Source organism: Homo sapiens, chromosome 17 (assembly GCF_000001405.40).
Source record: "Homo sapiens chromosome 17, GRCh38.p14 Primary Assembly".
NCBI classification, from domain to species: domain Eukaryota; kingdom Metazoa; phylum Chordata; class Mammalia; order Primates; family Hominidae; genus Homo; species Homo sapiens.
Window position 1 is genome coordinate 48,218,773 of NC_000017.11, and position 25,887 is coordinate 48,244,659.

The 25,887-nt window shown below is 39.0% G+C and overlaps 1 protein-coding gene across 10 annotated transcripts in view, besides 1 other annotated feature; it reads right to left on the minus strand.

Moving 5' to 3' along the window:
• The window catches only part of SKAP1 (src kinase associated phosphoprotein 1), a 311,620-nt gene that overhangs the window by 85,331 nt on the left and 200,402 nt on the right, over nucleotides 1–25,887 (minus strand). The gene's annotated exons all lie outside the window — the stretch shown is intronic.
• Nucleotides 565–1,407: an enhancer, noted in NCBI's record as "OCT4-NANOG hESC enhancer chr17:46296699-46297541 (GRCh37/hg19 assembly coordinates)". NCBI's record gives its function as "activates a minimal SCP1, AML or CMV promoter by ChIP-STARR-seq in naive H9 embryonic stem cells {active_cell/tissue: H9 hESC(naive)}" and the evidence as "EXISTENCE:reporter gene assay evidence [ECO:0000049][PMID:30033119]".

Sequence of the window (25,887 nt, forward strand, 5' to 3'; positions counted from 1 at the left end):
TATCTGAACTGAGAAAGAAAATCATTATCCTGTTACTTCTATTGTAGGGTGATGCTTGAAATACTGCACCTTGTTTCCATAATAATTCAATATTTTGGGGGTTTCAGATTGTTAAAAAAAAAACCCTCATGGGGTGGCCATGTGAAATCAGAACATGAAGAGTAGAAAGGAATAAACATGCACACATTTTACAGTGGGAATAAAGAGAAAGGCAGATTAAGAAAGAGAAATAGAAAAAATATAACAACCTAATTTCCTATTAGTATTTATCTAATAGTATATGTTTAATTTTGGAATCTCTAGAATTAACCTGAAAGAGTTCTTTGCTTCCAATTTTTTGAACAAAACACACAGATTTCCAATAGAGAAGAGTCCCCTCAATATTAATGAGGTTACTTGGGCAGAATTTTTATCTCTAGATTTATTGAAAATTGTATTCCATTGTTGAGAAACTAAAACCCAGGTGGGAACCATGTGGAATGTGACATTTGATTTTAAAAGTCAGTTGTACTATTCACTTCTCATTGGCAAAAAAACTGGCCACTGAACTTGAACTTCTTGCTGACAAAAGGAGAGGAATTATCATCCACAAACCTTTTTGAAACTCTTATATGTCCAGCCTCAAATAAAGCACCAGTTCTGCCTATTTCTAATATGACTGTTTATTGGTTAGTATTTTCAAAACACTTCAAGGCAATTAAACCCTTCCCCCTCTAGATTTCAGCATCCAGTTTAAAAGTCTCTCTGAATACATATTATGGAGAATAGGGTCATGTCAGTTAATGTTAGTTGCAAAAACAAGTACAGCTGTCCTCAACCTGACTTTCATACTTTTGTGTGTTGGTACCATAACCCAGTTATTTAAATTCTGGGTTTTTTCCTCTTAGAATTATTATTGATGAAATTAGCATTATATAGTCATAAAGTCATTACCTGCTTTTCTAGGCTGTCTGCTGCACCCCCATGGAGAGCTAAGTGGGCCCTTAATGAACAAGAAAAGGTTATCTGGCTGCACACGGTGTCTCCCAGTCTGCTCTGGCTAGAAGCTACAGCAGCCACAGATAACAGTTCAAAGTCATGCAAATGAGGGCTAGGCTACCACTTTGTTCCTCACAGAGGAGATGTTCCTGTGATCCACTGGCAAATGTACAATGGAAGCAGGAAAAAAGGATATTTTCAGAGACCTAATCCCTCCAGGCAGCTGGTTTATTTCAATTGAAGAAACTACTACAGCCACCCACCAGAATTGCTAAAATTAAGAAACACTGACAATACCAAGTATCAGTGAGAATGAGGAGCAACTGGAATTTTCACACATTGTTGGTGGGAGTAAAAATGGTACAAGTCTGTTGGAAAAATGTTTGGTAGAATCTCCTAAAGCGGAATACGCACATACCCTCTAATTCAGCAATTCCTCTCCTAGCTATATACCAAACAGAAATGCCAACATAGTGGTGCTCCAAAAGTCTGATATAAGATTGTTCACAACAGCATTATTTACAATATTTCCAAAGCAGAAAAAAACCATACGTTTACCTACCATAGAATGAAATAAAATGAATAAAGGAAATACTATATAGTAATGAGAACAAAGGAACTACATGTGTTTTGCTACATGCAAAAACACGGACAATCCTCACAAATATAATGCTAAATGAAAGAGTCCAGACACACAAAAGTATATATAGTATGAATCTGTTCATATGAAGTTCAAGTATAGGCAAAATTAATCTGGTGATAGAAGTCAGAATAGTAGTTATTTTGGTGGAGATAACTGGGACGGGGCATAAAGAGAAGTTTCAGGCCAGGTGCAGTGGCTCACGCCTGTAATCCCAGCACTTTGGGAGGCTGAGGTGGAAGGATCACTTGAGGTCAGGAGTTTGAGACCAGCATGGCCAACATGGTGGAACCCTGTTTCTACTGAAAATACAAAAGCCGGGCGTGGTTGCACATGCCTGTAATCCCAGCTACTTGGGAGGCTGAGGCACAAGAATCGCTTGAACCCAGGAGGTGGAGGTTGCAATAAGCCCAGATTGCGCCACTGCACTCCAGCCTGGGTGACAGAGCGAGACTCCATCTCAAAAAAAAAAAAAAAAAAAAAAAAAGAAAAGAAAAAAAAAAGAAAGAGAAGCTTTAGGGGTGCTGGTAATGTTCTATATCTTGATGTGGGTAGGGCTTACATAAGTGTGTTCACTTTGTTAAAAAAAATCACCAGGGTGGGCACGGTGGCTCACGCCTGTAATCCCAGTACTTTCGGAGGCCAAGGCAGGCGGATAACGAGGTCAGGACTTCCAGACCAGACTGACAAATATGGTGAAACCGCGTCTCTACTAAAAATATAAAAATTAGCTGGGCATGGTGATGCACATCTGTAATCCCAGCTACTCAGGAGGCTGAGGCAGGAGAAGCGCTTGAACCTGGGAGGTGGAGGTTGCAGTGAGCCAAGATTGCACCACTGCACTCCAGCCTGGGTGACAGAGTGAGACTCTGTCTCAATAAATAAATAAATAAATAAATCATTGAGTTCTACATTTATGATTTGCGCATTTTTCTGTATATATGATGTATTGCAATAAAAAAGTTGACAAAAAACTATCAAAGTAGTTTGTTACTAACTAATGCCTTTGTCAACTTCTGAAACACTAGGAAACAAAGGAAGAATGACTAAAACAGTTTCTCCTTGAGTAAAGTTTGCTACAGAATTACTTTTTAAAAATCCTAGAGAAATTACATAGGCATGGCTAAAAGAATTTGTATTTCCTAGCCTGGAGCTCATAAGGCTAAATGGTGTTTTGGTTTAAACCTTCAAGTACTGTATAGTGCATTATATCAAATGTTTTATAAGGAGGTTACTAACCAGCTAATTCTGTTCGTGCCGCAAGAGAAATTGACTTAAATTAAAACAGGAGCAATTTCAAGAAGTTAAATAATTGTGGGATCAGAATTGCCGAGTATCTTTAAGAAATCCACAAGGTTGCCTGCAGTCTCTTTCAGTTCTGTTCTCCAGTTCAACAGTGGGATGGTGGCGTAATTTAAAAATCTGCCCTTCACAGAGAGCACTGCATGTTTTAAGGGCTCTTGCCCTAAACTCACTTATCAATACTGAAATATCCCTAACTCAGTTTCTCTGTCTAGACGTCTCTGTTGCCCACTCCTCCTGATGATAAAGGAGGGAGAAAGCCCAATTGGTTAACATCTATAATTTGTAGTGATTCTGTGATGAAATATGGTATGTAAATGTAAAGAATTATTATTATAATAAGCCCAGTCAACCACAACAATGGTGGTTGGTGGTGCCAGAAATGTCTAAGGGGTAACTTGGAACTCTTACCACTCTCTCAGAAATTAAGTTGCTACAGTTAGCTACAGGCTTTGAGAAGTAGAGGGAACCACAAAGAGCCTAAGCGTAGGGAGCTGAGGTAAAAAGAGCTTGGTCTAAAGGAAACCCTAGGCAAATATGACAAAAAGGGTTCCTCACGCTAATACAAATCAATAATAGTTTTAGCTATCATCTAGGATTTTCTAGAAGTTTTCTTTCCATTAATTACTCTTCCTTCATACTCCTACACTCTTTCTGTCTCTAAGAAAAACTGTATTCAAGAGATATTGATGAACTGACTTGGGTTTTTTTGTTTGTTTTGTTTTGCTTTGCTTTTGTAGCTGAAAAATGTACATAGCTAAAATAGGAGATGCATATAGAAGAATTATATATATATTTTTTTCCCGAGATGGAGTGTTGCTCTGTCACCCAGGCTGGATTGCAGTGGCACAATCTCAGCTCACTGCAACCTCCACCTCCCAGGTTCAAGCAATTCTCCTGCCTCAGCCTCCTGAGTATCTGGGATTACAGGCCCCTGCCACCACACTTGGCTAATTTTTGTATTATTAGTAGAGATGGAGTTTCACCATGTTGGCCAGGCTGGTCTTGAACTCCTGACCTCATGATACGCCCACCTCGGCCTCCCAAAGTGCTGTAGAATAATTTTAATGCTTCCTAAAATGTCCTCTTAAGGCCGGGTGTGGTGGCTCACACCTGTAATGCCAGCACTTTGGGAGGCTGAGGCGGGTGGATCACGAGGTCAGGAGTTCGAGACCAGCTTGGCCAACATGGTGAAACCCCATCTCTACTAAAAATACAAAAATTAGCTGGGCGTGGAGGTGAGTGCCTGTAATCCCAGCTACTCGGGAGGCTGAGGCAGGAGAATCGCTTGAACCTGGGAGGCAGAGGTTGCAGTGAGCAGAGATCATGCCATTGCACTCTAGCCTGGGCGACAGGGTGAGACTCCGTCTCAAAAAAAAAAAAAAAAAAAAAAAGCCCTCTTAAAAGGTGCATGGTTTGAAGTCAAGCTTTCCAGTGTTAAAATGCTACCAGATTTTAAGCTCAATTCCTGTGTGGTTTTGGAGATGCTGGCATTCTAAAAACTGCTGATTCTCACTTGGTAAATGGAAACTGAGTTATAGCAACTAAGGTCTGAAGAATCAGAAGTAGATTTATGCTTAACAAAGATCTATGTAAGATAAAAATTATTATGTGGAAATTTAGGGCCCTTCCAATTTTAGGTTTCTGACTTCTCTGGAGTGGTTTTCTGGCACAACTAAGACACTGGTGCTCAATTATGAGCAACACAGCACTTCTCTGAATTATGTGTCCACTCCCTTATATTCTGGATACTTTCCTAGTTGCTCCTAAATTTCCACATTACTACCATTATATGCTGCGCAGTATATGAAAATGCCCTTTTGGCATCATCTGTGAACTGCTGAAAACTGAAGTGTGGGCAAATGTCCCATGTGGATATGTATCTATATAAACCAAGCCACAGAAGTGGTAAATCAGTCTAAGCACAGAAATGCCTGCAAATTTCCATCAATCAAGTCTAGAAGAACTATCACATGCATTTGAAAATAAGCAATTGTTGAAAATAAGCCAAGTTAACCAGTTTTTATGAGCTCATAGTGACCGATGGTTAACAGTTTGCTTGGGGTTATTCACTCAGAACTTTACTGGCATGTTCTATGACTACAAGTACAAGGTACCAAGGAACAGCAGATGTGCACGGCACTGTATGTGAGAAGTATGAGAGGAAAAGCAGATGGCCTCTAGCTGAATATCTGAAATTGTTAATTAACAATAAAAAAGTATATAGGTACCAAAATAAAAACCTACAGCTCAGAGAAGGCAGTGTGTATAGACTGTGGAGAAGAGTACCTTGAGCTGAACTCTGAGAGATGGGAGACAGAGAGAGAGAGAGAGAGAGAGAGAAGAAGGAGGAGGAGGAGGAGGAGGAGGAGGAGAAGGAGGAGGAGGAGGAGGAAGAGGAGGAGGAGGAGGAGGAGGAGGAACTTTCCAGAAAGGAAACAGCACAAGCAAGAGCTTGAAAGTCTACACTGAGTATAATGTGTTCTTAGCCAACAGTAACTTGACTGATGCCTGGAGCTTTTGGTGGATATGTAGGTGTGGGTGTATTCTAAGAAATAAGCTAAACATTTATCCTATGGGTGTAGGACAAACTCTGAAAGATTTCAAAGGTCAGGCTGACAAGTTCTAATAATCTAGTTTTCCCTAGTTTCCCTCACTCCAATTTCTCATTATGAATGCTGAAATGAGCAGGTCCTTTAAACTGGAGAGGCTAGGAGGTCTCCTCAGCTATGCAGAGTTATTGAAAGTTTTCAGTCAGGAAATGACATAATAAAGCCAGTGTTTTTCTAGTGATGAAGATGATTTAAATATAGTTGCTCTACAACTATTCTTCTATTGACTGAACTATTCCATTTTTCAAATAGAATAATAATTCTTAACAAAGTAAACTGGTTCTTGTCTTAGATTCTTTCTGGAACAATGTGGTATCATACCTATGCCTAGTTAATGGATAGGAACTGTCATCAAATTTAAATTTTCTCTTAAACCTTGTGTTATTTTACCACTTTAGGTGGCCAAAAAAGAACAAATGGTAAATAAATATATTAATGGAAATTTTTGGAGACCACTGATCATGCTTAGTTCAAAAAGCCATACTTAGTGGCCTTTTGGGGGAGGGGAGATGGGTGTGCTTCTGGCTGAGAGTTTATATTGCATACATATAATGTGGCCATATTTTGTGTCAGTACAGTTTGTATGATAGAATTAAACATATATTTAATGAAGTTTTGCCAAGTGTACCAGAACACATTAGAGAACTACTGCTTTTACATAGCCATATTTGAATCTACTCAATTTCAACAGATTTGGAAAGGACTACAAATAACTATAGGGGGCAGAAATTTAAAATTTAATAGAGAAGGGCAGTCTACTATGGCCTCTGGTTCATTCATGGTAAAGTGAAATAGAATTTGTATTTCTAGTATGTACGCAAATTCTCTAAAGTAAAGTAGTATATTTCAATATGCTTCTCCCTCACTAAAACTGATTTAAATATAAATGGGATTGAATGAGTTAACGGCTGTCCCATAGAGGCTCCCTGTATTCCCAGCTCTTGGCACACACAGTAGGTGCTTACTCAACATTTTAAAAATCAATGAATTAAAGGACTGAATATAGCAGGGAGTCAGAGATTTTAGGTCTTGTTATTGATCTTGCCACACATTTATTTATCAAGTAGATTTGGGTATATAGGCTTTCTGTGCTCATTTTTTCCCTCTCTGAAATCAAGATGATAAAACTTCTTTTACGTATGGTGATGCTTGAAATACTGTGTGTGAAATGATTTGCACTCTTTGGGAGAAAAGGATCTTATAAATAGAAAGCATTGTTCAGGTTACCAACAGCATTCAAATTTAATTTGTACCACATGGATTATGCGGAGGGCCCATGACCTAAGTAATGAAGGTTGCTGAGCCCTAGATGCCCATGGAAAAAAGCTTTTTCTCCTTGTTTTTCTGGCTGCAAGAGTGACTGCTGTTTCCTCTGCCTGCCTGTTCTAACTATGATGCACTTATTTTCCGCAGCCTCATCTCAATTCCTTATTATGAATACTGAAACCAGCAGGTCCCTTAAATTGGAGAGGGTAGGAGATGCATACATCTGAAAGTGCAGTAATAAGGGCCCTGGACTTAAGAATGAAGAGTTGAGAGAGATGAGTAAAGAACACTGACTAGGACGTGCGAGAAAAGACAGATCAATCCCAACGATTCATCATGCCAGGAGCTGTCCAAATAATCAAAGGTATCAGCCAGGGTGATGTATAGCTGATGTCACTTGGGGAGACCCTTAACAAGGCGGTTAGTACAACAGCTGCTGCTGGTCAGTGAGTAGCACAGCACATGCCAGGCCAGGGCAGAGGAACATAGACCATCCATCACTGACCCAACCTAATGGCTAGGCTTATTAGTAAACATTCTCTGTGGCTGACAGCCTGTAATGGTACAGGATGTTCCCCTACTGTCCCCCAAATAAACTGACCCACCTGACAGATGTGTGAAATCCGTGGTCTCTCTTCAGATTGTTTGAGTAAGTATAATTTATTCTATTTTATTGAGACAGGCAAGAATGGATCTTTAGAAAGAATAAGAGAAGGGAGTTATGTATAAAGCCTCCATTTAGCAGAAGTATTTGTAATCCACTTCCCCCAAGATACGTTTTTTTTTTCCTTCTTAATCATAAATCAGAAAAGTGACAGTATATGTTGACATGCATGCATTTTTCTATAGGCACTATTGTAGGTAAGTTTCATCTATATCTCTATTATGGATCAGAAATTCCCAAAGTGGAAATAAAATCCACTCTCTGTATTAAAGATATCTAAGTCTACTTTAACTACATTATGTTCTTGGAGGGGATATCTTAATGGACTAAGTATGAGGTTTGAAATATCTAGACTTCCTGGAACCACAGGTTCAATTCCCAGCTGAATCAGCTCAGTCCTCCAGTCTTCACTGGCAGATAAAGTAAGATGCTAACAAGCTTACTGTGCATAGATCTATCAGATGAGTTGCAGTAACTCATAATCTTGCCTATTTTTTTTGAAGTGGACATTTAACTTGATTTTGGTGGTTTTGATCTTGAAAAATTCCATACAGTCTGCATGGTAAACTTGATGCTTAATTTATTCAAAAGGGATGTGCTATTTAGGGTGAGCTCGCACCCTCCACCAAGTTTGAGACATTCTTAAACATCTGTGGGGTTTGAAATGGGCAGGTTGTTGCGATTCCAATTACCTCTTCCTAACTCCATACCTTCCAGTTTGCCTGGACTTGAGCTTCCTGTCTTGCCTCACCCTTTAGTGTATCTTCCTCTTGGCTTGACCTTAGCTTGGCTCTCTAGTTTTGGTTATTGAGCTTGCTTTGAATTCTGGCACAGGTGAATTCTTCAAGCCCTACTTAACTTGGATTCTGGACTTTTCACTACTCTGACTTCCAGGACTGGCATGATATCTCAAGTTTTACTTCAGTTTCTGTGAATGGAGAGGGAACATGGTATAAAAAAAGAGCTCTAGGGCTTGGGAAAAATTAAGAGTTTCCAGAAAGACTATTTCCTAAACTGCCCCTGTTTATTCTTGTTCTGTGCGCTAGTCCTAGCACTGACACAAAGTAGTTCTGCAATGATGAGCAAGTCATTTGATTTATCTGCAGTTTGGTCTGCAGAATGGGTAGGCTAGACTACATGAGTTCATGGCTCCTTCTCTGTCCTAAGATTCTTGGATCTTTCTTGGTTTCTGTCTGGGCACCCCATCACTCAAGCTCCAGCTCAGTACAGAAAGGGACTGAAAAATGTTTTAAAACCTAAATTTTATGCATCATCATAGCCACTAATTAATGCCAATTGAGCACTAACACCTTGTGTTAAGAATTTTAGAATTCTTTACCTCTAGTGGAAAATAAAAGAATTTTAGAATTTTATAGAATGCAGAGAGGATTGGCATTTTGGAATTTTTTATCAAGGGGAGATTCCATAACATAGTCTCAAAGAGAAGCTCATTTTTATTTTTATTGTGGGGTCTGAAAGAAATGAAGTTGACTGGCTAGTAGAGAGTGGTGGTGAAGAACATGGACTCTGCAGCCAGAGAGCCTGCTCTGAATCCAGGTTCCAACCCTTACCAGCTGTGAGACTTCAGCGAACTGATCAATTTCTCTGTGTTTCAGTTTTATCTTATAAGGTTGTTACGAGGATAAAATGAATTACTGCTAAATAGTGCTTAGAACTGTGTCTGGAACACAATATGCACTATGTAAATGTTGGTTAAATAAATAAAAATATTGGAGCTACAAAGTCTCTCATTCATTTCAAGGTGTATTTCTGTGTATATCCTGATCACTAATAAGTAGCAGAGATATTATGACATATATTTAATATCTACAATTAAGTTGCAGGCTTATGCATAGAGAAACACTGATGTAATTCAGTATTGTTAAGATTGCAGGAAACATAATTATATAAGATGTGGGGGTGGGGTAGGGTGTGTGTGAGAGAGAGAGAGAGAAAGACAAAGAGAGATAGAGAGATAGAGAGATTGAATGAGCATGAGAAATCTTTCTAATACACCAATAAAAAGTCTGTCTCTAAAATACTTAATTTTTTCACACCGTGTATTTGTGTCTCACTAAAAAACGCAATATAGAACATCTGTATTGTTAATAAACCTCCCATAGAGAGCACTGACACTTGAATAGCCTGAAATGTTTTCTGACATCTGACCAGAGCTAATCATAGATGCTTCTATAGGTTGGTTTCTGCTTTTGGAGCATTATTCAAATATTGCTGCAGTATTGTGTTAAATTCTCAAATCATACCCAATAGATAGCAAAGGTGGGCCTTGAATAATTTAAGCCTTGTATTAGGTTTTGTGTTAGAACTGAGGAAATAGCCTGGTGAGCATTTATTAGACTCCACTTATGTATCAGTTGCTGTTCTAAGTGCTTTACATGTATCAACTCATTCAGGTTTCAAAACAACCTTATGATGTAGGCGTTTTCCCATTTTATGAATGAAGAAACTGAGGGATACAGAGTTTAAGTAATTTGCTCAAACTATACAGCTAGTGACTGCCAGAGCTCAGTTAAGCCTTTTTGTTTAGTGCCTGGGGTTTTGGGCCAGGTCCTAGGCATTTTGGAAAACTGAAGAGAGAACTAGGCACCACAGAGCTGGGCTAAAGGAGCTGACACTGTGGTGGGATTCCTAATAGAACCCTGTGGTTTGCTGGCACAGGGCCCTCTACAGGCAGGTGGGGTAAGAGCTGGGGCAGATAAGGAAAGACACCACAGTTTAACATCTGATGCTCAGCTCAGAGAGGAGACCTCTCTGCCTCTTCTCAGCACTGCCTTCAGGTCTGGAGTGAGTCTCTGTACTCTTGGTCGTGCATCCCTGAGGGTGAGGTCTGGATCCTACTCTCTTTACACCCAACACTTAGCACCATGTCTGACACATTGTAGGCACCCAAAAGACCTGCGGTTAAGTATGAATCTCTTTTTTCAACTTAGGGTTCTGAAGCTTTAATATGAAAATTTTATTTATTTTTGTTTTTATTACGTAGACTTGGAAATAAAGCAAGAGAATGATGATCATCAACTACCTAGAAGCATCAGTTAAGTTAGCAGTACTAAACCTTTTTTTGTCATCATAAAACATTTGCGGGCCTGGCGTGGTGGCTCACACCTGTAATCCCAGCATTTTGGGAGGACGAGGTGGGCAGATCGCCTGAGGTCAGGAGTTTGTGACTAGCCTGGCCAAGATGGTTAAACCTCATCTCTACTAAAAATACAAAAATTAGCTGGGCGTTGTGGTGGGTGACTGTAATCTCAGCTACTCGGGAGGCTGAGGCAGGAGAATTGCTTAAACCCAGGAGGCAGAGGTTGCAGTGAGCTGAGATCATGCCACTGCACTCCAGCCTGGGTGACAGAGTGAGACTCTGTCTCAAAAATAAATAAATAAATAAAATATACATAAAAAATAAATAAAATATTTGCAGTTTTTTTAAACTCACAGGTTCAACTCATAACTTTTTTCTCCTTAATCTTGAGTTTATATATTTTGGCTGGTGCTAAACACCAATGTCACCCTCTCCAATTATAACAGCAAGAAGACATTTTAACCTAAACAGTGTTCTTCAGATTAATGAAATCTAATAGCAACTCTTTCACCTCTGGGCTATTCCAAACCAAGTGGTAATGACCAAAGACCATTCCTCATCTTGTGCTTGGATAGGAAACCCTGAGAAATGAGTCTTGGGCTTGGTCCAGTTTTTAGTGGAAAGTGCACACATCACAAAACTTAGTTTCAAAATTCGCCTCCATGCTGACAGTCTCTGTTAGAAGGGCAGAGCATCCAGGCTCAGACCTTGAACTGAAAAATCCTTCTCACTTTTCAACAATGCCCCTTTGGTTAGAATGCAGGTCAGGCATACTTGTCCAGCCATGGCCATTACTGGGCTGTCTGCTCTAGGGCTAAAAAAAGATGTTGATTTCCTGTAATATCTGCCCTGCAATTTTTACAGGAACAATGTTCATTAAATTAAAAATAATAAACCAGGCAATGTTCTTGTGTAACCTGTTTCTTAGAACTTGCTGTCCACATGACAGCCTTCCAGGATGTCTTTTCTTGTCCATACTAGGTTAAAGCATCAACAAAGCTTTGTTTTGTGTTAAACTCAAAGGTGTCTTTCTGCAGATTCTTCCAGAACTGCTTGATGGGGGAGAGGGAAGATCATGCCTGGCAAAAAGTGATTTACACTAACATATACACAAAGAAGATAATCATCTTGTTTTATGTGCCGGTTGCAGTGGCTCACACTTGTAATCCTAGCACTTTAGGAGGCTGAGGTGGGCAGATCGCTTGAGGCCAGGAGTGTGAGACCAGCCTGGGCAACATGGCAAAACCCTGTCTTTACAAAAAATACAAAAAATTAGCCAGGTGTGGTGGTGTGTGCCTGTAGTCTCATCTACTTGGGAGGCTGAGGTGGGAGGATCCCCTGAGCCTGGGGAGATAGAGGCTACGGTGAGCCACGATCATGCCACTGCACTGCAGCTTGGGTGACAGAGTGAGACCCTGTCTCAAAAAAAATTGTTTTATGAGTGAGTAAGCATATATAATTATAAGTAAGATCCTAAATCTTTATTAGACAGACATGTAATGAAATGGAATAGAATAGAGGCATAATGACATATTAACCTGATTTTTGCATAAAAGCACAGTTGCATAAAAAAGATATTGTATAGTCCTTTATGATAATGAAATGTATTACATATATTATCTCATGTAATCTGCACAGTTTAGGAGGTAGATGTGATACAGATGATGAAGAAAGAAGGCTGTGGGCATTTAATTCAGGGATAGGTTAAAGGATAGATGCAGGCAGTGTTTACATCTCTCTGTCCCAGTCTGTTTAAACCATAGTATTTTCAAGTTAGTGTACACAGTGGTTTACAAATCAGCTGCATTTGCATCACCTGGGCACCTTAAAGATACCTCTAGAGCCTTGCCCCTGTTTCACCAGATATCAGAATGAATTTCTGGGTCAGGTTATTGGAAATTTACATTTTTAACAGACTCCCTTAAATTATTCTATTATGCTTCCATGTTTGAGAGAGATCTTCACACTAAGGGTCTCTCAGACCAGTAATTATACCATTATTTCAAAAAACAGCTAATAATGTGTAGGGATTATTGCAATAGCTGTTGTAAAAGCATACATGCTTACACAGCCTGAAGAAAGAAGGCTGCTTTTGCAGAAAGCAAAAGCAAATTAACTTAACAACTGGCATAGTTTGAGGAAGGGTACTACACAAGTAGAAGGGTACTAAATACTCTATGTAGTTGAGAGGGTTTCAGAAAATGAGTTAATAAAAAAAAAAGAAAGCAAGGAATTTTACGCTGAGACCTTCTAACTGTCCTGAAATATTTGAAGGGTTGTCCCATAGAAATAGGGAGTAGTGGGAGTACTAGGACCCACAAGCTGAAGCTAATGACAGTGGGGGTTAAGTTCAGCCTGAGAAAGACCCTTTAGACCTTAGAGAGCCTCCACCTCCCCAGCCTTTGGGAATAATGGTGGTCATGAGGTAGGAAGCCTCACCTCACTGCAGGGTTAAGCAGGGACTATATAACCTAGTGTTAATAGATTCTTACACTGATGGATAAGTTGGCTTTATCTTCTATAATTCCTATTTTCTCTATACTCTCCTATTCATTCTTCTCAAAATACCTATGTAAAAAAAACAAAGGCACACGTTACTGATACATATTTTATAATCTGAGAAACTGAAGTCAAAAGCTGAGGTGAGTTGCCAAAAGTGAGGCACTTGCTAGCAAAGCTAAGAACAGATCTCTCCTTCCTGGTATTCTTCCTTCTTAACCCCCTTTTCTTCACCCTACAAACCACATAGGTGCCTCTTAGGAAACACTAAAGCACTTAGGAATATAGCCTGAAAACTGCTATTGTAGGCCAGTCACCTTCGAACCTAAAAATGCAAGTTCCTGGGCGTGCCTCAGATTAACTGAATCATAATCTGTGCAAATGGGACTCAGGAATCTGTATGCCAGGTTGGGCACCACCATTTTAGACTTCTTTCCATCTGGAATAAGGGACAGGAAATCTGATAGTCTCGTGTTCTATATACTATTCTTTGTAACTGCTGATTGATTTCTATGAGTGCAAAGATACCACCAGGTGGGTACCTTTTTATGTAAAGATTTCAATGCTCTTGCTTTACATTTACATGGGCACAAATATTTATATAATGATCACAAGTTTATTTACAGAAGTAACAGATGGCTGTAAAGGTGATACAAATGTATTTGAGTCAACGGTAAAGGTTCCATTGTGTATTTTACAGGCCTGGGTAAATGTCAGCCTTTACCCAAATATTGGCAGCATAAAGTATATGGATATGGGAACAGTATGGAGTTAGAAAAAATTCCCTGCCCTTCTCGTAGGCTCTGAGTAAGTATCCCATTGGATTAACCAGAGTCCACTTGATTGCTACAGTTTCAATAGCTTGTTCAGACATCGATTGCTGTCATGTCACTAGGAGAAAAGGATTAATAATAGGGTGCTCAGGCTGGCTCAATACTGCTGATAGTGCCTGACAAAAGACCGTTAGTAGGACTCCCATGGGGACACTGCCTGCATAGGAAAGCTACAAACAACATCATTCAGGATTTCGCAGAATAATGATTAACTACAGAACTTCAGCCTACAAAACCCAACCAACAGTTCTATTATTTCCAAATAAATTCACTGCTTGATCTTCCTTTTCTTAGGTTCACAGATTATCCAGAATCAGAATGTCTAGTGGATATTCATAACCATGATTGTGTTCTTATATAAGTCACTGTGCCTGGACTGTTTTCGAGAGATGCATTTCTGCCAATCCTGATCATGGAAAACAGCAAGATACTAGAGGAGCTTGGTTTGGCAAGTGTCTCCTGAGTAAATTTTACAAAAGAAATGCTCCATCTCCAATAGGAACTCTGTGGCAGTTGTGGCTAATGGGTACCACAATCTGGGGAGGTCACCAGTTCTGGATCTCACATTTGAAAAAACTCAATTTCAGCTATGGAAAATTAAATGGGGCTACTTTGCAATGGGTTTCAATGTTCAGTTGAGATTAAGGTGAAGGAGGGTGTTAAAAGGAAATATTGATGATTCTTTACATCAATAGAAAAGAGAAAGGATGGCAGTGCTAGAATGTGTGGTTTTGTTGAACTGTGTTGTCCCTGTTTGGCAAAGGTTTGGTGATGGAACTAGAAAGAAGGGGACAAATTCTGACTTCTAGTAAAAACAAGAATAGTCTGTAATTTAAACAGATAAAATATAATACTATAAAATTTTACTGTACTAATTGTATAAAATATGGGTAAAATAAGATTACTGGCCAAGTGTGGTGGCTTACACCTGTAATCCCAGCACTTTGGGAGGTCGAGGTGGGTGGATCACGAGGTCAGGAGTTCGAGACCAGCCTGGCCAACATGGTGAAACCCCATCTGTACTAAAAACATACAAAAAATTAGCCGGGCATAGTGGCTCGCACCTGTAATCCCAACTACTAGGGAGGCTGAGGCAGAAGAATTGCTTGAACCCAGGAGGCAGAGGTTGCAATGGGCTGAGATTGTGCCATTGTACTCCAGCCTGGGTGACAGAGCAAGACTGTGTCTTGAGAAAAAAAAAATGTTTACTTAGAGTGGCAGAAATACAAGCCAACAGCTTCTCTCTCTGCATCCCCCATGCTTATATGACAAGAGTTCCAAGTTGTTTGAGTGTTTGGTTTTTTTGGCAGTGAAAGGTTTAAGGGCATTTATCTCTATAACTAGCAATTTAATAAGTACATGACTTCTTACTCAAGTGCATTTAGATAATTTTCTAAGCTTTCATAACAGCTTTATTTATTTATGCTTTAATGCCTTTCCTCTTAAGAGCTCAAGATGCTGGTTATTTAACATTTTATATTCAGATATGAGGATTAAAAAAAGGCACTGGGTGCCATGCTGCTGTCTCCAATGATAGCTCCACTAAAAATAACACAATTAACTTGATGTCAGCCCTCAGCTTGTTCTTAAATATAGGTTTCTTAAAAATATCCAGACTACTTTAATTAGAGTCACAGAATATTTTAATTATTCCTAAAAGACTGAGTATACTCCATTGACTACAATAAAGACATGAGATAGAAAGCAGTTCTCTAGGAACTTATATATGCTAATGATTATGTCACATTAATGGGAATATGGGCAGTTGTTTAGGATGAAATTGGTACAGGGCTAGACATGGACACCTGTGAAGAAAACTGAGGCCATGTGTCATCTGGCATGAGGTAAATGGCATCTGAGCCCCAGATATCATCAGAAATGCAAAATTCTGAAATTCAAGGTAATATGTTGTTCAGTTCAACTTAATTTTAATCAGATGCAATCCAACCCTGGAAACCTTTATTCAGCATCTGTTATATGTCAGGTAATGTTCTGAGATCTGTGGGGGTACCAAAATAAATAAGAAATACATTCTATTTTCAAGGCACTTTTTTTTTTCTGGTAGGAAAGACAGTCAAATAAATAACCACAGAATGTGATGAGTAAAAAGCAAAATTACAAATGTATGCATTAATACAAAATGAATAAAGGAGATTTATGGTGGCATGATATGGCAGAACAAGGATGAGTTTTGAAATCATGCAGACCCTGGTTTAAATTCTGGATATTTCAATTGCTTGCCATAAAGCTTTTAGCCTTGGTTTTATGTTTTGAGAATGGAGATCTCAATGTATTTTAAAATGCTTTGTGAAGATAAAGCAAGGCAAGATTTGTAAAAGTATCGAACTAGTTCCTAGCATGAGAATCCTAATAGGAGCTCAAGAAATGTTACGTTTTTCCTTGTGTGTATATGTGAAGGCTTCACAGAGGAGACAAAGACTGAGCTGGGTTTTGAAGGATGAATAGGAGTTCTCTAAGACTAATGGAACAATATTTGGAAAAAGAGAGATGTGGAAAAGTGGGGAATATCTGGTATTGTTGATATATAAAAGGGGAATGAGCAGCAAAGGGACCTGAAGATAGGGAGGTGGCAGAGATCTACAAAGAAAGTGAGAAATGAACATAAATGTGTATACTTAGGGAACACCACAGAATGTGTGACCATGGAGCATTCAGCATCACCATGGTTGAAGGTCCATAAAGTAACAAATTGTCCTAACTTGCTAGACAACTATCAAGTTTGAACAGCCTCAAAAGTTAGCTTTCACTTTTTTTTTTTTAGTGAGTTCATCAAAGTTGCTCACAGACTCCATTTAGTAGAAAACTGCAGAACAAGATCAACTACAACAAAACTCTGAATGCAGACACAGTCATTTCATTCTGTGCTAAGGTAACTGATAAGTGGACAATAGAAGAATATCCAAGATGCTGCTGGAAATTGTGTTAAAGTAGGACAAGCATGAGAGAGGTTTAATGCCATGAAATCTTTCAGTAGTGCAGCAAAGCTGAGGATGGCAAAGAATGTTGGTGTTCACCTCCCAACTCCAACTCACAGTGCTGAGAACTTAGCAAGTGTATGATGCTATTCCACTCCCAGAATAACATCACCCAGAGGCAAGTCTTGCTTGTACTTGGACCAGTAATCATAGCTCTTTCTCCTGCTTTACTCATCAGGAGCCTATAGTCAAATATACCAGAGAATACTAGAAGATCTGTCTTTCCTACAAGTCTGGTATGTAGCTCAAGGGACCACACTTGCTTTTCTTTGAGAAATGATCCATTGATTTAAGAGGAAAGCCAGCCCAGGATTTTGGGTGGAGTGGCAGACACAATTTGAAGGATAAAATTCATGAGGAACCATCTGAAAAGATGTTGGGCCTTTTAAAAATAGTTACACTGGATGTGATGATTGTAACATTTCAAAGTCAAGGGAGAAAAATACATTCATACATAGAGTTAACAAGGTTAAGCAAAGCTCTTTAAAGTTGAAAATGCTTTCCGATATTCCTTCACTTATTCAATAAACATACACTGAGCACCTTCAAAGTTTTAGGTACTGGAGAGACAAAGATGAGTAAAATAACTGCTGTGAAGGAACTCAGTCTAGAGGAGAAGGGGACAGAATGTAAACAAATAACTATAATGCAATTTATCATTTGTATTAAGGTTTCTACGAGATTCTTTGGGAGCACAGAGAGGGTAATTGTTTCCAAATCTTGAATATTACATTACTATTATTGGAATATACACTATGTAGAGGTTTATATACCACAGTAGGTTCTTGATAAATATTCCTTGTATTAATGAATGAAAAGTAATCAATCCCCAAATATAAATTTCTCTATCATATTAGGTTACTTAATCACTTAATAAGATTACATAAACAAATTTAAAGTACTTGGTGTAAATCTGGCAATTTATAAAATGCTGTGAGACTATGGAAGACTGCTTGCCAATGGAGGAGGAGGAACGAATAGGATGTTAACTGAGACTGCGAAGTTTGAGCTAAATCTTGAAGGAAGAGAAGGAATTCACCAGACTTACAAGTAAGAAACAGGATTCCAGACAAAGAGAAAAGTATCTGCTAAGGTGTGTAAGAGTGTGTTTTACACTTGATAAGTCATTTAGTATATCTGTAGACATAGGATGCTTGTAAGGAGAGTCACAGGAAATGAGGTCAGGAAGTCAAAATAGTAATATCTACTCTATTGTCAAGTAGTTACATTTCTTACTATGTGCCAGGCACTGGGCCAAGCAATTCTTATGCATTGTATCATGTAATCTTCAAAACAACAGTAAGAGGTAGGTACTACCATTATCTCTATTTTATGAATAAGGGAACTTGAATTTGGTGAGGATAAGTGACTCACTCATGATCATACAACTATTAGGTCATGAAGTTGGATTTGAAATCCAGTTCTTTCTGACTCCAGAAACCATCCACTTACTTGTTGTTAGTTCCACCTTACGTATTACAAGGGTATTTGTTGTGCCCTAATCATTTCAGGTTCCCAAATACAATAAGAGAATGTCATAAAGATTTTCAGGGCTATGGTAAAATGAGGAAAATAAGGACTACATAGTGATTTTTTCCATAAAGTTGTATCATTATTCAATATAAGAGACTTTATTCCTAACTTGTGTTCTTCCTATTTTCTGACATCAAAATTCTTTTTTTGTTTGTGAAATCACGTAGCTAGAAGGTGGTAGTGATCTTAAAAATGTTCTGGTCAAAACTGAAAATTGTCAATCCCATGATACTGTTCCAAACCTATAAATCATTGCTCTAGGCCATGAAGCTATGCTGCCTTACTAAAGATTGTGTAAGCCATGGTACAGCATTTAAATTTATGCTACAAGCAATGAGAGGTCATTTAAGTATTTTTAGCAGTAAAATTACAAAATTTGCATTCTAGAGGGATTATTCTTTTATTAGCATTGAGGATGTATTGGAGGAGGATGAAAGATAGGGAGATTAACTGGAAGATGATCATGGCAATCCGACAAAGAGGTGATGAGAACTTTGAACTAAGGCAAGAGGAGAGAGAAGGAATGGTTTTAAGGGATTTTGAAGAGGTAAAGTCAGTGGGTTTTGTGACCAATGAAATGCTAGTTGTGCAAGAGAGATAGAATCTAGGACCATTCCCAAGTTTCCAATCCACAACACATTGAAGGGTGGAATAATTCCTAAGATTTTGTATACATGAAGAAGACTGGGCTGGTGAAGGGAAAGATTGATGAGTTTGGTTCAGATTTTTTTTTTTTTTTTTGAGATAGAGCCTCGCTCTGCTTTTGTTGTTGTTGTTGTTGTTTTTTGTTTGTTTTGTTTTTTGTTTTTTGTTTTTGAGACGGAGCCTGGCTCTGTTGCCCAGGCTGGAGTGCAGTGGCATGATCTTGGCTCACTGCAAGCTCCGCCTCCTGAGTACAAGCAATTCTCCTGCCTCAGCCTCCCGAGTAGCTGGGATTACAGGCGCATGCCACCACATCCGGCTGATTTTTGTATTTTTAGTAGAGACATGGTTTCACCATATTGGCCAGGCTGGTCTCGAACTCCTGGCCTCAGGTGATCCACCCGTCTCAGCCTCCCAAAATGCTGGGATTACAGGCTTTGACTTCAAGGACAATCAGATGAATATGATTTTAAAATATTGATTTCTATCTCACCAAGCTTCTGGGGACAAAAAGATTATCTTTCATGTAGTCATGAAACTTGACATAAGTTTGTTTATTTATTTATTTTGAGTTTTTTTTTGAGACAGGGTCTCATTCTGTGGCCCAAGCTGGAGTACAGTGGATGATCACAGCTCACTGTAGCCTCAACCTCCCAGGCTCAAGCAATCCTTTCATCTCAACCTCCTGAGTAGCTGGGACCACAGGCGTGTGCCACCATGCCCAGCAGTCTCCCTATGTTGCACAGGATGGTCTCGAACTCCTGGGCTCAAGCAATCCTCCCACCTCAGCCTCCCAAAGTATTGGGATTACAGGTATGAGCCACCGCGCCCAGTTGAGATAGGTTTAAATAGTCAAGGCCTAAAAAACAGACTTTGCTTCATGAAGTAAAAAATTGTAATAAGTGCACAAAATTAATCTTAGGCATGGATATGGAGCTCCATCACATGACTACTATTATATTGTGATCCTTGTCACACTTTATTTTTAAGATGACTCAGAGAAACAGTGAACTGGCGAAATGTTTGGAAGGCTAGTAGGTTATTTTGGCCCTGTCAGAAAGACCAAAATAATGGTTATAAAGTACTTTTTGAGATCTTCAAATGAAAGATGCCCAGAAAAAGACATTATTAATGTTGACTATGAAGATGTAGAGACAGGTATCTTTAGTTATTTGAAAAAGCTTATAAATAAAAGACAATGACTTAGTGACTTGAAAACAGAAATATCTGGCCTTACTTCTGATTTTCTATATGAATCATAACAAATCAAATGCACCCTTTAAAAATATGAACACTTGGGGTGACCACAGCTTCCTGAAGACAGAAATGAATTTAACACAATAACCATCTCTGGACAGTGAAATTCACATTCCGCACCACCACCAGCCCAATTAAAGGGAAAGAATTTCGACTTGACAATCTGCCCTTCAGTATCTCAGACCCAGGCTGAGGGCAGATCTAGTGACCTCCTCCTGAATAAAAAGGGGAAGGGGATTGGGCAGTAAATTCTGTCCTGGCGAACATCAGCCTGGCAGTAAATCGGAATCCTCTCTGTGCCCTCTTTATTATCACATTCACAGCATGAAGTTATGAGCTTCCTCACAGCTCCTGCTATAAAAATGTGATGGATGGTAGGGAAACCTCAGGGAGTTAATCTATTCTTCCATTAAATTTTACTTTAATTGGTCTGTGAGTCAATCAGAAACTCACTAGACAGTGAATTAAGAAAGAAAAGAGTGAAATAGAAAAAGCTTTCTTTTGCAGTTACTATATTATAATGCAGAATTATTCTTCCATTGAAAGAAAACTGAGACCATTGGTCCATACAAATAATCCCTGGCTCTGTAAAGAAAATGAGAGAAAAACAGGCAACCATGAATCCTACTCACTGGTGACATTAACACATATGACATTACACATACTCACACGTATCTCACCAAGGAAAAGCAGGCTTCTCAGACCCCCTCCACCCCCACCAACAGTAATTAGAATGAGAGAGAGAGAGAGAGAGACAGAGAGAGAGAGAGAGAGAGAGAGAGAATGAACTTGAATCATGGCCTCTAAGAAAATTAATACAAAGAAAAATAAGCTGTTGAGAACCTCTATCATCAGTAACATAACTCTATAGGTACAAAAGAAGGTAGATGTTAAAGACCAAAGGTGGATCAGCTGAAATGTTCATGGATTCAGTTAGTAAAATGTTTGTGCAGTATTTAAGGCCATAATGGGCTCTGATAAAGATTCTCAGAATCTAATAATGGCCTCTCTGGACTTCTTGTCTAATTAGTGGAATAAGGAGCGAGCCAGCTTGGAATTGAGCATTGCTAGATATGAGGGAGAAGGGAAAAAAAAAAGCCAAAGCTGCAAGAAAAATAAACCAGAGTAAAGGAGAAGAAAAACAAGAGCAGCCAGTGCTTTCAGAACTGCTCCTGAGCTGACAACTGAAGTTTATGCCTTGAAATATATGATAATAAGATTTTATGGGAGTGAGCCCCAGGGACCCAAATGTCTCTCTGTAAACAACGGACCTCAGGGAAAAGCCAAGGTTTGAGTAATGTACTCAGTCTCCACTCATGATAAAAAAATAAAAAAAAGCAAAAAAGCAGTGAAGACAGGAAATAACTCCTTTTATTCTAACTGTAGAACCCTGAGTTGCAGCAAATGCCCTCTGAGGGCAAAGACAATCGACAACCAGTATAGAAATACAGTTGTCCCATATTCAGACAAGGGATTTAAACCTCAGCAGCCTCAAAAACCTGAGGTTGTATGAGAAGAACCTAGTAAAGTGCTGCCTGTCCACCCTTCACACATGGGCAATATATGTCCAGAAACCAAATGGTTTATTGTGCAGTGTTGTTCCAGTGGAATTACTGGAGGGACATCAGAATGACCTAATCCTTGAAGCATGTGCCAGTTATCCCAGTGCTGCAAAGAGTTAAACCTGAAAGTGCTGCCTGTTCCCACTCGTTCACAATCCAGATTACCTAGAAAGATATTACCAGCTGAACTCCACACATAGTATGATGGCTTCCTTTGAAGACTTGGGTCAGGTAAAGCTCAAAGTTAGCCTTAAGCAACTACTAAACGATGAAAGTCCCTAGTGTACTCTGAGACTAAATCAGGTTGCCTTTAAAATTCTTCATCTTCAAAGACAACAGCTCTATCCTCTTTTTATAAATGTGAGGCCATGAGACAGCAAAGTGCTATTTCTACTGGCATTAGTTCCACCTTATATATTAAAAAGATATTTGTTGTGCCCTAATCACTCTGGGTCCAAGATCATAAGGGACCTTGTTTCTTGGTGGGAGGCTATAGTGTGAAAAGGTTACTTAGTCATCACTAGCCTCTAGCAATGCTGGAACACCACACATGGGGCTCCTCAAACAGGAAGTCAAAGCCAGTTCTGACCCCTGGATGAACTCTGCATTTTCGGGCAAGAGGCCTGATGAATCTCCAGGGACAGTGCTGCCCTGTGTCTCTGTGTCCATATGTATGTGTTTACTCCTCTGTGTGCATGTGTGGAGGTGGGTGGTACTGAAGGGAAGCAGGGTGTGAAGGTTCTGGATAATTATGAAAATTAGATCTTTTACAGCAGGCTTCAAGCTCAATTTGGGCTGACAGCTCATGAACAGATCATCTGAAGTCTTAATAGGCCAATGCTAGTTCAATAGTTGTATGGTTAAATCATGCACATTTGTGCCTCAGCTGACACAAAAAGCAGACCCAGATGCCTCACATGGATCATGCAGATAAGTCTATATTTAATACTCTTCCTCTCTCGGGGAAGGCCTAACAAAGCAAAACAAAACAGATCTAAAACCATGCTTAAAACTTTCACCAGCCAAAGAAACATTCCAACATTCTTTTCACTATAAAACATCTAATAGTAGAAATGATACATGATTGATAAAGTGATTCTAAATATACTTAATTCTGGTGTCTTTTCAAAATATTTCTGAACCCAGCAGTAACAGATATAATCTTCCAAACTGGGAGTTTTTTCCATTTTTAGTTACCTGTCCCAAAAGCACTTATTCTCTTACTTTCCATTCTTTGCTGGTAGTTTTGTACAATGATGTCAAGATATCAAGGCTCCTGACACATCCTGAATTCTGAAAGAATGTGCTTCCTGAATATTCCTGATAATGGGCTTAGTATCAAAGGGGTTAATGAGGTTGAGTTAAGACAGCATTTCCTGCTTGAAGGAGAACTGAGTCCAACAACACTAGAAGCATTTTCTTATTATTTTTCTCTGCGTTTGCAGTAACTGCTTCTCCTGGAAGCTTTACCTGGGGGAAGGGATAAAGCAATATCACTAACCTGCCTGGCATCTGGCTTCCAGCAGGGAAAGAGGCTCATCCACCTCACCCCTCGGGCTTCTTTAACTGAATTAGCTGTATTAAGTGCCTTGGTAGCCCAGGGAATGAACGTCGTTGATCAGTGTGCCTAGAAAGGCATGTTTTCAGGGTATAATTCTGCCGGAGGAGAATGGACTCCCCAGCACATGGGCCTAAACTGCAGAGTAACAGAGCCCTAAATCTCCAGTTACAGATTTACAGCCTCCATTCTCCTTCTTTACTGCAAATACAATCCGGCAGTAATGGTCTAACACAGCAACACCATCACCAACTGGCTGATGGCTCGCATAAAAGCAATGTCAACCAAAAACTATGAGTTTATAAAAGGGAACAAACCCTCAACAGTGACAAGAACATGAAACCCATTAACAATTTAAACACTCTCCATTTTTTATTTCCCACCTTGAAGCTATTATTGCTGATAGAAAGCTCCTCAGTGGAGTTAACCACTGCAAGGAAGGGTTAGGAAGCTAGCTTAACTCCTAAGACAAGGGGTTATGTGGTTTGAACCATTTGATGGTGTGGTTTGAACCTTTGTTAATAGGAAGGCCATTTGATAACCTGTAGTGCAAAAGAAGGTCTTAGAATACTGTAAGTGTGATAGGATCTCCCCTAGTAGGTCTATCAAATTATTCTCAGGAACCACACTGAATAAAAACGGTTAGAATTGGATTGGCTAGTCTATTGAATATGCCAAGACTTGAGCCTGTACTGTAAAAGGAATGGTAGAATATTTTTTGGAGAAAGTTCTGTAAAAATCAAGAATCAACTCTTGGCATTATAACAATAAATGCTTATATGAAGTTTTATTTCTGTGATAGCTCTAACTCTTCGAAGGAACATTGCCACCACAATATTTCCATTTTGCAAATTGACTATACCTGGACTGTGATGTAAAATGTAACTCGTCACACACTATTACCTTCCAGTCTTTAGGTAATCAGATACAAACATTATAACTAATTTCTCAACTTAACTACAGGACTCTCCCATTTAAAACAAATATTACTGTGGAATTCTCTGGTGAAAAATGCTTGAGCAAGCCATCTCCCTCCCTGCCCTTTCAAATTCCCTGACTTCCCCTAGTAAAAATAAAAATAGGACTTTAAAGAGATATAATAAGCCCATGATTGGGTATTTTACCCCCAAAACAAAACTTCTTCCCTTTGTTCTATAAATCAGACAAACCCAATGGCAATAAGAAAGTTGTTCTCTTTGTGGTTTTGAGCTTTTTGCATGTGTAATTTGTCAAACAGTTCATCTTTTGGAAATAGGATCTTCACACTAAAAAGGAACAAAATCCTGTTTTTGCAAAGGGGAAAAAAAGGCCATGTTGAACATGGTAACATATATCCATACGAATAGTGCCAAAGAACTTAAAGTCCCTGATTTACATATATTGTGCTGATTGTTTGAGCATCAATATAAAAAATTTAATCTGTACTAATGGGCCTGGAGGAAGCGCAAATAAAACCGAGGAATAAGTACTTGTTTTGCAGTACAATGAATGCTATTAATATATATATAAAACAGGCTTCAGTGATGCATAAGCTATTGTATTCTAAAAATATTCCTACATTTTTGGCACTTTAAAAATGTATTACCTCACAAAGGACTATCAACCTATCTGCAGACTCTTAACCTGGGCTAGCATTAAGAAAGGAATCATTTCATTCTGCTTTTGTTACATGTACATAGATTTTGAACTAAGCAGATATGGCACCTGTTGGTTTTAAATGTCTCCTCCTCTAAGAAAAAGAAAGAAAAAAGTTCAGGAGAAGAAAAAGAAGAGATGTTAAATAAAAGACAAGAAACAAGGAACTAAGAGAATAAAATTATTTTCCCCACAGTGTGCAATGAAATCAAGCTACACTAATTCTACTTATAATAATGTTAGAAAATGGTTAGCCTTAATGCCTGATAATGACCAGAGCTAATGTGGTTCTGCTTTCAGTGTGGATAATGTTTAAGGAAGTAGCAGAATGCATGGCAGCTTTCCTGGACTATACAGTCAACTCCAATGAAGCCTTTTCTCCAGCTTGAGTCATAACCATAAATACTGCCCCATCCCCACATTCCAGTAACAAAGTCCTTCCTTCCTCCTTTGCCCCTAAACAAAGGGGACAACAGTGTGTTCGGTGGGAACATCTTGAAATAAGATAACACTCCCCAAATGGAAGGAAGTCACAGGGGAGATTGACGCCATAAAGGCAGTTCTATCCTATTGAAACGCCAGCAGATGGGGTCATAAACATTTCCTTCTCCCCTTGCTAACAGCCACCAAGTCAGCTTCATCTTTATCTTTATCTTTATCTTCCTGTCAGGTCATAAATACCTCTCACTCAAGCTTCACTCACAGCTGGGCCATGCCAAGCAAGTTTACTTCCTGTTAAAGGTTCCTTTCAGCAAACATTAACAAATAGTTGGGGGAAAGAAAACTGAAAATTCTGCTGATGATACACAG